The sequence below is a fragment of the Homo sapiens genome, chromosome 17 (assembly GCF_000001405.40).
Source record: "Homo sapiens chromosome 17, GRCh38.p14 Primary Assembly".
Lineage (NCBI taxonomy): Eukaryota > Metazoa > Chordata > Mammalia > Primates > Hominidae > Homo > Homo sapiens.
Genome location: NC_000017.11, coordinates 57,818,770 through 57,834,556, shown reverse-complemented (window position 1 = coordinate 57,834,556; position 15,787 = coordinate 57,818,770). Strand labels below are relative to the sequence as shown.

At 45.7% G+C, this 15,787-nt stretch overlaps 3 annotated features.

Annotated features, from left to right (window-relative positions):
* Nucleotides 114-614: an enhancer, noted in NCBI's record as "H3K4me1 hESC enhancer chr17:55911304-55911804 (GRCh37/hg19 assembly coordinates)". NCBI's record gives its function as "activates a minimal SCP1, AML or CMV promoter by ChIP-STARR-seq in naive H9 embryonic stem cells {active_cell/tissue: H9 hESC(naive)}" and the evidence as "EXISTENCE:reporter gene assay evidence [ECO:0000049][PMID:30033119]".
* Nucleotides 783-1,293: an enhancer, noted in NCBI's record as "NANOG-H3K27ac hESC enhancer chr17:55910625-55911135 (GRCh37/hg19 assembly coordinates)". NCBI's record gives its function as "activates a minimal SCP1, AML or CMV promoter by ChIP-STARR-seq in naive H9 embryonic stem cells {active_cell/tissue: H9 hESC(naive)}" and the evidence as "EXISTENCE:reporter gene assay evidence [ECO:0000049][PMID:30033119]".
* Nucleotides 1,294-1,805: an enhancer, noted in NCBI's record as "NANOG-H3K27ac hESC enhancer chr17:55910113-55910624 (GRCh37/hg19 assembly coordinates)". NCBI's record gives its function as "activates a minimal SCP1, AML or CMV promoter by ChIP-STARR-seq in naive H9 embryonic stem cells {active_cell/tissue: H9 hESC(naive)}" and the evidence as "EXISTENCE:reporter gene assay evidence [ECO:0000049][PMID:30033119]".

The following is a 15,787-nucleotide window of genomic DNA, read 5'->3' as shown; positions in this document are numbered from 1 at the left end:
TGGTAGTCAACGCAAGCTGGCACGGCCTCAGCCAGAAGACTGGAGCTAGGAGCAAGCAAAGGTGAGTGGAGGAGGGGATGGGGAAGGCTGAGACTTCCTGGTCTCTATGTTCTGAGCTCAATTCTAGAATAGCCAAAAGGTGGGAGCCTGACTCGGGCTAAGTTAGTCATGCGTTCTGAGCCTTTGACCGTGCTGGGTGAGATGAGGGATGGCTGAGCAGGTTCAGTGAGCAACTTGGTCGAGGTCACCTTGGCTGGCAGAGGAAGGGCACCTGCCCTCCTGTGGAAAAGACGGGAAATGGCTTTCCTGTCACTCCTAGGGTAGCGCTCAATGTGGCAGGCGGGTCTCTGATTGGATGAGCCCGGCACTGAAGCAGTTTCTGTGGTGATGCTGAACCAGACAAGTGTTTATTGCTGCAGCACGAAAAAGAAAAGGTTGCTAGGGGAAGGCAGAGAAGGCAGGAAGTTAAGTGTTATGTTCCCTACAAAATGTTGCTACTGCCAGCCACCACCACCACCCTCCATCCATGCAGATTACAGACAGGGTTTTTGGGGAATACTAGCTGACAACGAAAATACATTTCAAGTATCATTTTACCCTCAATGAATGCTTTTCCTGGACTGCAACTGAAATAAATGTCAGTCACCGGACCTTCTAGCTCCTCAGTTCTTTTAATTAAAAGATAGTTCTAAGCAAGATCCAGTAGTGGTCTATTTATTATTTATCAAGCATTTTCCTTCCAGCAGTTAGTGAAAGGTCACTGGCTTCAACTGAGCTTTGTTTTTGGTGAGCAGCTTAGATGAAAAAGATATACAATCAATCTCTCCTGTTTGCTCATGGGCAGGACACTGTTTAATAGTCATTGTGGCATTTAGGATCGCAGGCCTCTGAAACATGCAGAAAAGTGCATGTGCATCCCTTGCTGCTGAACATTTCTCCAAAAGTAAACATCAGGTTGTGATTATGGTTAATAATGAGATATTGATTATTTGAAAATGTCACCGCCAGGGACTTGTCGGTTTCAGCACCACTAGATGGCGCTGGACTCTCATGCTGTTCAACTACAGTCATTTCGTTTCCTTGCCTCGGGGTACCTTGCCTTTCAAGGTTGAAGAGTGTCCTTGTAAAAATAATGTTGTGGCTGAAATTTAGGAAGCTGAGGTCCTGGGGTGCTACTGGGATGGGGTAGAGATGGGAGGGGACAGGCCACGGGACAAATGACAAAGGCCTGCCGGGGAAGCGGCACTGTTTGCACCATAATAGGAGCTGGAGAGGAAGGAGCTTACTGCGCTGAGCCCCTGGAGACTCTGCCCAGAGCAGTGTTTCCTAACCTTCTCCAGTCAATGACACATCTGCGAATTTGCTGTGGAGGACAGCGGGAGAGAGAACAGTGCAGGCAGGGAGGCAGAGCAGCGGAAAAAACCCAGGCCTTGGAGAACAGACCTGGGTTTGAAACCCTGATCTGTTGCTTTGTCTGGTGACATTAGGGGAGTTAGTGAACCGTCTGAACCTCAATTTCCTTATCTGTAAAACAAGGGTAACAACGTCTACCTCACTAAGTTGCTGTGAGGACTGAATGAGAACGTGAACAAAGTTCTTGGCGAGTACTCCGTCTTTGCTGTCAGTGCCTAGAAGGCTTTCAGCCACTGTCGATTCCCACTGGGTGGGGAGGAATTAACATGCGCTAGATTAACATTGAGAAGAAACGGTATTGTGTCCTCTTTCACCAGCCACTCGTCTAAACACAGCTTTCTCTATCCCCCACCCCCAGTAGTTACTCTGTCCTTTATCTCCTTCCAAACTTCTAGCACCAAGTAAATGAATCAAATTAAAAAACAACTACAACAACAACAACAAAGGAGGAAACTAGAGAACATCTTGGGAACTATCCGCTTTTGGAACTTATCCCATGCTGGTAGGTTTCACTGGAAAATGTGCATTTATTTAGTAACTTCTTGGATTGTGTATGCCTGTGGGCAAGCGTGTGTGTAGAAACCAACATTTTAAATGACACTCAATGACACTCATTCTGTTTCTTCTTTCCTGCTTCCTTTTTTTAAAAATAGGGACAAAGTCTCTCTCTGTCACTCAGGCTGGGGTGCAGTGGTGCAATCATAGCTCACTTCAGTCTCAACCTCCTGGGCTCAAGTGGTCCTCCTGCCTCAGCCTCCCAGGTAGCTAGGGCTACAGGTGCATGCCACTATGCCAAGCTAATTTTTTATTTTTAATTTTTTTGTAGAGATAGGGTCTCTATGCTATGTCGCTCAGGCTGGTCTCAAATTCCTGGCCTCAAGCGACTCTCCCGCCTTGGCCTCCCAAAGTGCTGGGATTATAGGCATGAGCCACCATGCCCGGCCCTTTTCTGCCTCCTTGCTGCCCCTCTACACTCCCCCCAACTGCCTTCCTTTCAGCACACTTTTCTGCTTTCTTTCTCCACCCTCTTTGCCCCAGATTATGGAGGAAAGCCAGAGGGTCACTACCTAGAGGCCCGGCCAGGGAAAATAGTTCCAACATCAGAGCCATTGTTTTGGGGACCTGGGGCTAGTCAGCAATTAGGAGTTTCTGAAACTCTTTCTGGAGCTTCTCCCTATGAAGGGCATGGGGAGGCAGTGGGTGCCAGGGCAGAAATGGTGGGCAGGGTGAGGATGAGGCCTAGAGGACCAGAAAGATCTATCCTTGACCTTCCTACCCTCCCACTTTATTTTACCCTGGTGGTCTGCCAGTGTATGGTGGGCCCCTCTGCCTTGAATTACCTGGGATGTGAGGCCAGAGGAGCACAGAGCTAAGGGTGCCACCCAGGTGGGTTACAGGGGAAGGGCTCTGACCTCTTTCCTCTCTAAGTCTCAGTCAAAAGGACTGGATTCAAATCCTGACGCTGGCACTCCTTTGTGGCCATGGCTTTAGAGAAATCACTTGACCATTTTGAGCCACATCCAGCCCCAGGAGAGAATCTGGAACCTAATAGATTTTTGGAAGTATATTTGTCAAGTGAACAAATGAATGATTTCCCTGTTTTTGACACGGGGAAAATAATATTAGCACCAAGTATGTTTTGGGGTGCAAAACCCGAATAAGATGCTGGCTATGCAGAACTTTGTAAACTCTCAAGCCTTCTACTGTTACGCGAAATAAAGATGCAGGAAAGAAGAACATGGCTGTGGGGCTGGTGGTGATGCTACTGGCCTTCAACCTGGAAGCAGTGTAGATTCCAAGACGATGGCCTCCGGAGAGGGAGTGTGGCAGGATGAGGGACAACTAGTGGAAAAGTTCAGCTTTCTAGTCTCTGCCTCCTAGAAAATTCTGCAGGAAATGCAGGATTGTTCTTCAAAGCCTCTCCTTTCCCAGGTGCTCAGTGGAAACCCTAGGCGTGCTCAGGGTTATTTCTGGAATATTCAGTGCATACGAGGAGGTCCTGAGCTTTATCATCAGCTCCTGCTGGCTCCCGCCCAGTGGGGCGAAATGGCCCTGCCCCTTCTCTGCAGCTCAGGTGACCTCCTCTGCCCTCCCGGAGCCCATTGCCTTCTCGGATCTGGCTTCCCGCTGAGAACCAGGCTGGTATAGATGTCACTTGGCTGGCTCCTCAAGGCTTCCAGCCCCCTTGAGTGTGACATCAGGGACAAGGGGGTGGCTTTGCCACTACTGCCAGCAGCCACAGGCTGACTCCCATAGCATGGGCAGGGGCTCCATTTTCAGATGGGAAAAGGGAAGGCTCAGTGCCCGGGATCCAGGTCACCTCAGTGAGTGTGCCTGAGCCACATCTGGTTTCTCTGCCTACCCACCCTCCAAGGGCCCCCAAGGTTAGAACAAGAGGTAGTGGGCTTAATCCCAGAAAAATTCCAATTTAAATATGAGAAGGTAAAGCTTGTCTTTGGTAGCTTTGCCCCATCCCCAACTTTCCTATGTGAGAGAAGAGAAAAGGGCTGTGGGAGATGGGCCAGCTAAGGAGGAGGATCTGGCAACCCAAGCTCCAGGCAGACAGAAGGCACCAGAATGTCCCACAGTCCTGTAGCATTCTGGCCAGGCCCCTCCTGGCTTATTGGGCAACCTAACCTCTGATACTTGGGAGTGTTTATTTCTTCCCTTTTGATTGTTGAAATGGGCCTAGACTGGCTTTTTTTTTTTATTTAAATTTTTATTTATTTATTTTTGAGACGGAGTTTCGATCTTGTCACCCAGCCTGGAGTATACTGGCACGATCTCCAGTCACTGCAAACTCCGCCTCCTGGGTTCAAGTGATTCTCTAGTCTCAGCCTCCCCAGTAGTTGGGATTACAGGTGCCTGCCACCACGCCTGGCTAATTTTTGTATTTTTAGTAGAGATGGGGTTTCACCATGTTGGTCAGGCTGGTCTTGAACTCCAGACCTCAGGTGATCCGCCAGCCTCGGTCTCCCAAAGTGCTGGGATTACAGGCATGAGCCACTGCCCTCGGCCTTTTTTTTTTTTTTTTGAGATGGAGTCTTGCTCTGTAGCCCAGGCTGGAGTGCAGTGGCGTGATTTTGGCTCACTGCAACCTCCGCCTCCTGGGTTCAAGTGATTCTCCTGCCTCAGCCTCCTGAGTAGCTGGGACTACAGGCATGTGCCACCACACCCAGATAATTTTTGTATTTTTAGTAGAGACGGGGTTTCACCATGTTGGCCAGGCTGGTCTCGAACTCCTGACCTCAAGTGATCCACCGTCCTCGGCCTCCAAAAGTGCTGGGATTACAGGCATAAGCCACTGCGCCTGGCCATAGACTGGCTTCTTAAAAGAACCAGTTTAAACACCTGTAAGTCTAAGAAGGTCAAATTTAGGAAAATCTCATCTGCAGGACTGAGGTCCCCTGAGCCACTGGCCACTTGTAATTAATATTAATGAGCTCTAGATGACAGATGTTTATTGCTCGACTGACACATGCTTTGCCAACCCCCAAAGGAGTGGCTGTAAGATCTAAAGGACTTGAATATACTTTAATTTTATGTTGAAGAGAATAAAACTTTCCGGGTATAGTCAGGGGTTTTTTACGATGAGAACCCATCGACCCATAGGCAATGTCTGCCTTAAGAAAAAAAGAACTGAGTGTACCCCGGTTCTTTATTGACATTTAAAAATAGCTCCTTTTGTCCAAAAATGAGGCAGACATGAGACAGTAGATAGGACACTGGGTAAGGCTCCTGGAGACCCCAGCCTGGCCCCAGCTCATCCATTTGTTGGCTGTATGACTTTGGTAAGTCTTCAAACCTTTTTAGCCATTTGTAAGATGAGGGGGTTGAGCTACAAGATCCCTGAAGTCCTGTTCTTTGGGTCCATGGGTCCAAGCGGAGCTCCAAGAAGAGCAGAATCAGCATCTTCCAAGATTTATTAAATACTTCTTTAAAATCTTTTCAGGCTGGGCACAGTGGCTCATGCCTGTAATCCCAACACTTAGGGATACCAAGGTAGGCAGATCACTTGAGGCCAGGTGTTCGGAACTAGCCTGGGCATTATAGTGAGACCCCCATCTCTACAAAAAATTTTTTAAAAATTAGCCAGGTATGCGTGGTAGTGTGTGCCTGTAGTCCCAGCTACTCCAGAGGCTGAAGTGGGAGGATCCCCTGAGCCCAGGAGTTCGAGGTTTCACTGAAACCTCGATTTATGATCATGCCACCGCACCCCAGGCTGACTGACAGAGCGAGACCCTGTCTCAAACACAACAAAACAAAACAAAACAAACCCACATTTTAAATTTGATTATGGAAGCATTCATAAAAGTAGAGAGAATTGGCTGGGTGTAGTGGCTCATGCCTGTAATCCCAGCATTTTGGGAGGCCGAGGCAGGTGGACTGCCTGAGCTCAGGAGTTGGAAACCAGCCTGGGCAATATGGTGAAACCCTGTCTCTACTAAAATACAAAAAGTTAGCCAGCCATGGCAGCGTGCACCTGTAATCCCAGCTACTCGGGAGGCTGAGACAGGAGAATTGCTTGAACCTGGGAGGTGGAGGTTGCAGTGAGCCGAGATCGCGCCTCTGCACTCCAGCCTGGGCGACAGAGCAAGACTCCATCTCAAAAAAAAAAAAAAAAAAAAAGAATCATATAAAGATCCTCCATATGTTTATCATGTAGACTAAACCATTATTAATATTTTGCTGTTTTTGCTCATCTATATTTTTTCTGAAGTGTTTTTTTTTGTTTTGTTTTTTGTTTGTTTTTTTGAGGCAGGGTTTTGCTCTGTCACTCAGGTGGGAGGGCAAGTGGTGCAATCATGGCTCATTGCAGCCTCAACCTCCTGGGCTCAAGGGATCTGCCCGCCTCATTTTCTGAGTTTTTGTAGAGACAGGATCTCACCATGTTGTTCAGGCCGGTCTCGAACTCCTGGGCTTAAGCAATCCCTCCACTTTGGCCTCCCAAAGTGCTGGGATTACAGGCATGAGCGACAGCTTCCAGCTTTTCTGAGGCATTTTAAAGCAAGTTCCCACAAAACCTCTCTCACCCAAGGCTTCAGCCTGCTTCTCTGGAAAATAAGACCCTTTCTTATATCAATACAATACCATTATCAAACCCAACAACATGGCATTTAACAGCCAGTTTTTGAAGATTTCCTCGTACTCAGTCCATTTTCAAATTTCCCCACAATTTTCTGAACAGGCTCTCCACCCCTCCGACCCCAGGCCTGTTCTTGGGGCCAACTAGTTTTAACCATTTCTGTTTTTAGTGCGTCTGGTGGGTACCTTTACATCTCTAAATAATCAGCTTGCTTTTTTTTTTTTTTTTTTTGAGACAGAGTTTCACTCTTGTTGCCCAGGCTGGAGTGCAACGGCGGGATCCCTGCTCATCGAAACCTCCGCCTCTTGGGTTCAAGCGATTCTCCTGCCTCAGCCTCTTGAGCATCTGGGATTACAGGCATGTGCCACCAGGCCCGGCTAATTTTGTATATTTAGCAGAGACAGGGTTTCTCCATGTTGGTCAGGCTGGTCTCTAACTCCCATCCTCAGGTGATCCGCCCGCCTCGGCCTCCCAAAGTGCTGGAGTACAGGTGTGAGCCACGGTGCCTAGCTGGCTCCCGCCTTTGTAAGATGAAGGTAAGAGCCAATGGTTTCAACAGACAGCTGGATGGACTCAGGGTCCAAGAAGTCTGAGTGATCATGAGAAGAACTAAACAGAGGGTGAATGCTTTCAGATCCCAGGACTGTAGGATATCTTTATGGCTTGTCTGCAGCTATGGGTCCCAGGCCCCTGAGCAGGAATCTGAAGGAGGGTCCTTCCCAGAGTTAAGGCTGTGTCAGTCCCCAGGCTACTGTGGTCAAGTCGGCCTGCTTCCCTCTTGCTCATGAAGGTCTGTTCTCTCTGGAAATGTCCCAGAAGCTGGCAATAAAGACAGTTCCCTTTATAGAGCAGCTGCTTCTTTTTTAAAATTTAATTATTTTTAATTTTTTCTTTTGGAAACAGGGTCTCGCTATGTCACCCAGGCTGGAGTGCAGTGGCATGATCAAAGCTCACGGTAGCCTCTACTTCCCAGGCTCAAGCGATCCTCCTGCCTCAGCCTCCTGAATAGCTGGGACTACAGGTGTATGAGACCCTGTCTCATTTTTCAATTTTTTTGTACAGATGGGGTCTTTCTTTGTTGCCCAGCCTGGTCTTGAACTCCTGGGGTCAAGCGATCCTCCTTCCTGACCTCCCAAAGTGCTGGGATTACAGGTGTGAGCCACCTCGCCCAGCTGAGCTGCTGCTTCTGAAGCCTGCTTTGACATTAAGCTGTTACAATGCATTGAGGGATGCTAGGAAATGGTTGTATGAGGCATACTTTTGTTTTTTTCTGTGGGAATGTTACTGACCATTTTTTCCTCTATGAAGACCCGTGGGATAAATATCTTTCACGTTTTAGCTTAAGGAATAAAAAACTGTGCTGCTTTTGAACAACTTGGGTGGTTTGCTTCTGCGGTCTTGGCAAATTTGGTGTCTTAGTTTCCCTCTTAGCTTTGGCTGTGGGGAAATTCAGAGCTTAATTTACAGTTACATGCAGCTCTGGAGTAGGAGATGGCATTATTTTTGATTATTATGAAATATTTCAGGCATTCAAAAATTACAGAGACTCTACAACAAATATCTACTTACCCATCACCCAGGTTAAGACATGAGCTTCTTGTATCCATTCCTGATCCCTTTCTTCTTTGTCCCTACTCTCGTGGTGGATATTTTCCTGGACTTGGTGTTTATCTTCCCTACTTAAAAAATAATAATTTTTTCTACAAACGTATGTATCTATAATAAACATACAGTATTGTTTTACACATTTAAAAATATTATAAAAGTGGCTTTATACTGCATGTATCCCTCTGTAATTTGATCTTTTTACTCAAGAGTTTTCTTTTGAAACTCACCTGTTTTGCCACATGTAACTCTAGTTAATTCATTTTCACTGCTGTACAATATTCTATTCTAAGACTAGATGTATGAATATGTAGGCTTTAAGAGTATGGCTCTGGGGCCAGGCTGCCTTGGTTCAAACCCCAACCCTGCCACTTACTAGTTCTGTGACCTTGGGCAAGTGACTTAACCTCCTCTTCTCGTCTCTGTTTCTTCATCTGTAAAATGGGGCTAATGATACCACCTATCTAATAGAGGCGAAAATAAATGACTTAATAGGTGAAAAGCATTGAAAATATTCCTGGTATATAGTGTAAGACTTGGTCTCATAAGCACTAATGGAACATTCTTTTAAGAAATGCCATATCACTAATGTCCTTCATGGAACAGAACAGGAAGGTATGTAGAAAAGCACAGACATCAAAGACACTGAGTCTGAAAGGGATTCAGACATGTCAGACTGAACAGGAAGATGTTTAAGACCACATTAATAAACTTAATTCACCTGTAGCTTCTATTTTTATGTATGTAGTAGAATAAAAACACTATGCAAATAAATTAAAAAGAGTTATTTTCATAATTAAAAAAATAAACATTAGAAGGATTTTTGGCTGGGCATGGTGTCTCACGCCTGTAATCCCAGCACTTTGGGAGGCCAAGGCGGGTGGATCACCTGAGGTCAGGAGTTTGAGACCAGCCTGGCCAACATGGTAAAACCCCGTCTCTACTAAAAATACAAAAATTAGCCGGGCGTGGTGGTGGATGCCTGTAATCCCAGCTACGCGGGAGGCTGAGGCAGAAGAATCGCTTGAACCCAGGAGGCAGAGGTTGTGGTGAGCTGAGATCACGCCATTGCACTCCAGCCTGGGCAACAAGAGCAAAACTCCGTCTCAAAATAAATAAATAAATAAAAATAAAAATAAATAAATAAAAACAACAACAACAACAACAAAATGATTAGCCTGGTGTGGTGATGGACACCTGTAGTCTCAGCTACTTGGGAAGATCCCTTGAACTGCAGTGAGCTATGATTGTGTCACTGCAGTAAAGACTGGGTGACAGAGCTGAGACCCTGTCTCAAAAACAAAAAGTGATTTTTTAAAAAGAGAGTTGGCTATTATTGTTATATATTTATTTTCCTCTTGGAGGTTTCAGTTGTTTCCAGTTTTTTTTTTTTTTTGCTGTCTCTAGGATGTTGCAGGGAACATTATTATCCCTGTTTCTTTGTACATGTGTGCAAGGAAGAATCCCTCTGAGCCAGGGCATACAATTAGGAGTGAAATTGCTGGGCGGTAGGGCTCATCTTTCGCTTTTTGGGTGATGCCAAGTTGCACTCCAGAGTGGTTGCACTGACTTGCTCCCACTGGAGGGAATGGGTGTGCCCGTGACCCCACTCTTACTGATTCTTGGCATTCTTTTTGTACATTACTTTTGCTTAAACTTTATTTAATCTTTCTCCCTCTTTTCGCAGATGTTCCCATTTCTTTATATTCATCCTATTATGTATTTCCGTAAGCACCTTTTTTTTTTTTTTTTTTTTTTTTTTTTTGAGATGGAGTCTTGCTCTGTCGCCAGGCTGGAGTACAGTGGCGTGATATCAGCTCACTGCAATCTCTGACTCCCAGGTTCAAGCGATTCTCCTGCCTCAGCCTCCCGAGTAGCTCGGATTACAGGCATGCACCACCATGCCCAGCTAATTTTTGTATTTTTAGAAGAGACAGGGTTTTACCATGTTGGCCAGGATGGTCTGGATCTCTTGACCTTGTGATTCGCCCACCTCAGCCTCCCAAAGTGCTGGGATTACAGGCTCATCGCACCCAGCCCCATGAGCACCTTTTTATCCACTCTCCCCTTTTTTCTTTTGAATGAAGCAGCATTTAAATACATAAAAATTAGACAGCGTCTGCCAGAATAAAGAACACAATCTATAGGGGCAGCCTGCTACCTTAGGCCTGGACCTAAAGGCTTCCTGGCACTCAGCATTGTGAAGGTAGCTATTAGAAGAGGCTAACATTTGCTGAGTGTTTATTACATGATAAGTGCTCTACAAGCATTACCTTACTCAATCTCACAGCAACTCCATGAAATAGGACTGTTATTCCAGGAATTTTGATTCAAACAAGGCAGAATGATGCCAGAGTCTATGCTTTTAACCATAGGTCTTCCTACAGGGCTGCCATGTGGGGTGACTCAGGCCGCACGTTGCACAATTCCAGGGGGCACCATTTGCGCAGACTACAATGAGAATGGCATCCCCTGGGGTGTGTGTTGCAGTGGTCCCGGCCTTCTACTAAGTAAGAGCTTAAAATGCTTAGAAATGACAGGCTTAGAAGAGTAAGCCCTACTACACACGGAGGGGCCTTTCTCCTCTGGATTTATGGTGCTTTCTTAAGGTCATGGTTCTTCATGTTTTAAAAGCCTATTGGCATGAGAGCCCTCCCACCTATATAAACATTTGTTTAGAGAGGAGAGCCCAGCGTGGGTCCTGCGCTCTGACACCAGCCGTGTAAGGGCACAGACTCGGCTGCTGTTCGTGGCTTTCTCCCTTGGCCACTGCAGACTTATTGAGCAATATATTACAAGTGTGCCTCACTCTGATGATGTGTTATGGATAAATCATTAAGGAGGCAGCTCACCGCGGTGATGTATTGGTGTAATAGATCATCAGAGTGAAGTCTTCTACCGACATACGGGCTGGCTCAAAGGGTGGTGTCATTCAGGGAAGAATTAGCCCAGCAGCAGATCTGGCTTAATTACAGGATAAAAGGTTTGTGAATGATAGGCTGAAGTCTGCAGCACCAGCATTTTGATTCTTGATGTAAAAATATAATTGGGCTTCCTGAGAGAATTTTTGATTATTTCCAAACAGTCTTCCGCTTTATCATAACAGCACAACTTGCCACGTGGTTGCAGGGGAATCTTTTATTGGGGGGGTATCTCCAGGCCCTTTCGCCATCTGAATTATTTTCCTCCTTTCAATTTGTAGGTCACAGAATGAGTTAAGGGAGATAAAATTCAGGAGGCCTGCCTTTCGGGCCTTCAGAATAATGTCTTTAGCAACTGGACCATTGGAATCCAGTGATTTATTCAAATCATCATTAACTAAGGCAGTGGTTTCCAACTACTGAACTAGGACTGTGAGCATGTGCAGGGGAGAGGGGATGGTCTGGTGAGTATGTGTCTTAGGCCATCAGCACCTTGGGGATAATAATAATAATAATGTTTGCCCAACACTTAACAGACGTTGTTGTGCTAAACATTGAGCTAAAGGCTTTGCTTGTATCATTCAATTTCATTCAATCCACATGACGACATTGTGAGACAGGTATTATGATCTTTTTTTTTGAGACAGAGTCTCTCTGTCACCCAGGCTGGAGTGCAGTGGTACGATTTCGGCTCACTGCAACCTCTGCCTCCCAGGTTCAATTGATTCTCTTGCCTCAGCCTCCCGAGTAGCTCGGATTATAGGTGCCTGCCACCATGGCAGTGGCACGATTTCAGCTCACTGCAACCTCTGCCTCCCAGGTTCAAGCGATTCTCCTGCCTCAGCCTCCTGAGTAGCTGGGATTACAGGTGCCTGCCATCACGCCCGGCTCATTTTTGTATTTATTATTTTTAGTAGAGACAGGGTTTCACCATGTTGGCCAGGCTGGTCTCGAAGTCCTGACCTCAGGTGATCTACCCACCTTGGCCTCCCAAAGTGCTGGGATTACAGGTGTGAGCCACCGCGCCCGGCCTATGATTTTCATTATTCCCATTTTCCGGATGAGAAAACCAGCCAAGAGCTGGCCTTATTGGCCAAGGTTGTAGAACTGCTCAGTAGCAGAGCCGGTGCACCTGAGGCTGTGGGTGATTCTTATGCACTTCCCTTCCCACCCCCAATGCCCCCCTTCCTTTGAAGACCCTAAACCCATGCTTCTGGAACTACAGGCCTCAGTAAGCAGAAAGATGTGTTTGTTGAAAAATCGATTATTTTGTTTTAAGACACATAAATCAACTTTAGGTCTTTCTTAACACCTATTAGTAGGGCCCACCGTTTGGCCTGAGTTGGTTATTTCTTGAGAAGCTTACAGGATGAGACCTCCTAGCAATGGTAGGCTAAACTATGTGGACCAACTCTCCCACTGGAGACAAATAACAACGTAAACTATTTTTTGGAAATCTTCAGCAGTATGAAATTGCTGACAAGATAGTAAGAAATGACTAGGTCAACAGGGAAGAGAGAATAGGAACCAGAGAGGTGAAGGAGCACCAAAGCTCTTTTTGCCCTGCAGGTATTTGCTGATCCTCTGTGGGGAACTTCCACGGATGGGCTGCAGCCTGGCTGGAAGAGAGTGCAGAAATGGAAGCCAGGAGCCAGCCAAGGAGAGGCGGCCCTCCTATAGTACACTGGGACTTCCCAGGGTATATCCTGAGGGGGAGGGTGGCTAGAAGTGGAGCAGCCCTCCTGCAGAATCATAACTCAGGTTCCAATTATTCAGATTGTCCAGGTCCAGGAAATCTCAGGCCTTGGATTTGGCTTAAGGTGGTCCCAGACTGGTATGATCCCAACACATTACAGAAGCAGATCATCTCTGGGTATATCTACACCCAGAGGCCTCATATTATTCCTATACCTAATTTTTAAAGTGCTGGAATATGGTCAAAGATAACCAGGTACACAAGGAAACTAGATAGAATAGAAGCAGATCTATAAAGATGTAAGCTGTTGAGATTATCGAACTACAGACAATATGTGACTTTTCTTGCTTATTATGTTTAAATAAATAAAAGATAAGTTTGAAGATATCTTCAGAGAACAAAAAACAATTTTAAAATTTATTATAGGACAAATATGTCACTAACAATCTTGTTCTTACCTCCCACTCTGTCTCCCCAAAGCATAATAAAATTCTGGATGGCAAAATTTATTTATTTATTTTTATTTTTATTTTTGAGACGGAATCTCACTCTGTCATCCAGGCTGGAGTGCTGTGGCATGATCTAGGCTCACTGCAATCTCCGTCTCCTGGGTTCAAGTGATTCTCCTACCTCAGCCTCCCAAGTAGCTGGGATTACAGGTGCCCACTACCACACCCAGCTAATTTTTGTATTTTTAATAGAGACGGGGTTTTACCATGTTGGCCGGGCTGGTCTCGAACTCCTGACCTCAAATGATCCCCCCATCTTGGCTTCCAAAGTGCTGTGATTACAGGCGCAAGCCCCCGTGCCCAGACTGGACAGCAAAATTTAATATGAAAATCTCACTTGGCTCAGTATCAGGCAAACTACAGAAGACATTGTCCTGTCCTCTGTACATTTATTTTTTAACAAAGAAGGTCAAACATAGAACTTCCTTTTGGCTTTTACTTGTGACTCTTTAAAAAATTATAATTTAAGGCTGTGTGCAGTGTCTCATGCCTGTAATCCCAGCACTTTGGGAGGCCAAGGGGGGTGGAGCACTTGAGGTCAGGAGTTTGAGACCAGCCTAGGCAACATGGCGAAACCCCGTCTCTACTAAAAATACAAAAAATTAGCTGGGCATGGTGGCTGGCGCCTGTAATCCCAGCTACTTGGGAAGTTGAGGCAGGAGAATCGCTTGAACCTGGGAGGTGGAGGTTGCAGTGAGCCACGATCACACCACTGCACTCCAGCCTGGGTGACAAAGTTAGACTCCATCTCAAAAAAATAAAAAAAAATTAGAATTTGAATTTTATTATTAACGTGGAAGTAAGAAATGCCTTTAAATAAATTGACTAAAAAATCTTGAGAAATTTCAATAGACAATATACCATACTCCCATTCCCCCAAAAGTGGGGAGGAAGTACAACCTGAAATTTTTAAATCATTGTAGAAAATATTCAATTTGATATGTAAGTGTGGAAGTATGAAACGTAAGTGGCTGTGATGTTATGATGTATAGATGACATGGCCAAAAATACTTAGGATATTGGAGTATAACATCATAGTTTAAAAACACGGCTCTACATCAGACACACCAGGTTGGGGTCCAGCTCTGACACATTTTGGAATCTTGGGCAAGTTATTTAACTTCTGAGAGCTTCAGTTTGGTTATCTGCAATATGGGGATAATAAGAGCATTTCCCCTGCTTCTCATGGTTGTAAGGAGTCAAAAGAGATTCTGGATGTTAAGAATTCGGCATTCTGCCAATGTGAAACTTGCGACAGTGACTTTAGCTTCTTGGAGCCGCATTACCGCATCCAGATGAAAGTGGCATTTGCATTTTGCTTGCACTTCAAATCCAGGAAGGTTTTATGTAAAGAGAGTGATTACCTATGTGTAACTAGTCAGAAAAACTCTCTTACCATAAAAAGTTGATGAAATTTTGTTCCTGAGGACTGACCCAGGGCCGCTCAACTTGGACATTGACAGTGAGCCTTTTGATAAAGAAGGCACTTACTCTGGCCTCTAAAATCAAGGCCATCTCTTTGTGAAGGGTAGAAATCCAGGTGAGATAAGATTGATAATCCTGCATTACAGAATTTATTAAAGATGTCCAGATTAAAAAATTAGGTTGTCTGTCAATCAATCAGTCTGTTTTCTACATTTTTCTCTGTCATATACAAAAAATATTCCTGTATAACACTGAATTCCCTGTGGACCTCATCAATGCTAATAGCCCTTCCTCTTTCATTCAGAAGGACAAGCTTAGTCATGTTTCCTAGCAGAGGTCCCTGGGTTTGTCCAGTCTTGCTGAAGCCTTCACTATTACTATGGAAAGTTTTTTCAGTTATTTGGTTTCAAGTGGGGAAGGACGGCACATGAATGGACGTGACCATTGAAGTGTGGTATAGGCTGCATTCTTTTTCTTTTGGGTAATTTCCTTTAATCCCAGTGAGAGGGAACAGGTTGGAAACAACCAACCTGAAGACCAGTCAAAGGCTCAACTGTTGATTGGCAGATCACTGTGTAACTGTTTGGGTCCCTTGAGTCAGGGGACTGAGTCAGTATCATTTGTGTTTCCCAGTATCTCAGCCTGAGATTGGGAGATGTCTGAGGTTGGGCTCCCTGGAAACAGACTCTGAGATAGAGAGCTGCACGCAGAACATTAATTAGGAGTGTTCTTGGGAGATGTACTTGTAAGGGGGCAAGGGAGGCAGGACGGGGCAGAGGGAGTAGCTGCCCCACAATGTGCTGGCCATGGAGACCTCAGTTAATTCTACAGGGAACTCTGGAGCTGGGATGGCCCTCCAGAGCTGTCCTACTGTGAGAGAGCTGGGCCTTTGCATCCCCCATCAGCCAGTCATTGACTAAGGCTCTCCCCCAGGAGGGGATGTGCCTTGGGTCATGCATTTCCCAATGAGGGATGAACCTCTGAGCCATTAGCAGCCCCTATTCTCAGTAGCTAGGGGATGGGTGTGTGGGCCCTGAAAAGGGATCTGGGTGGGCAGTGTCTGTGACAGATGACCCTTCAAGTGGCTCAGAGTCACTTGTTTCTTGTAGTAAGTTTGCCCCATCTCTGATGG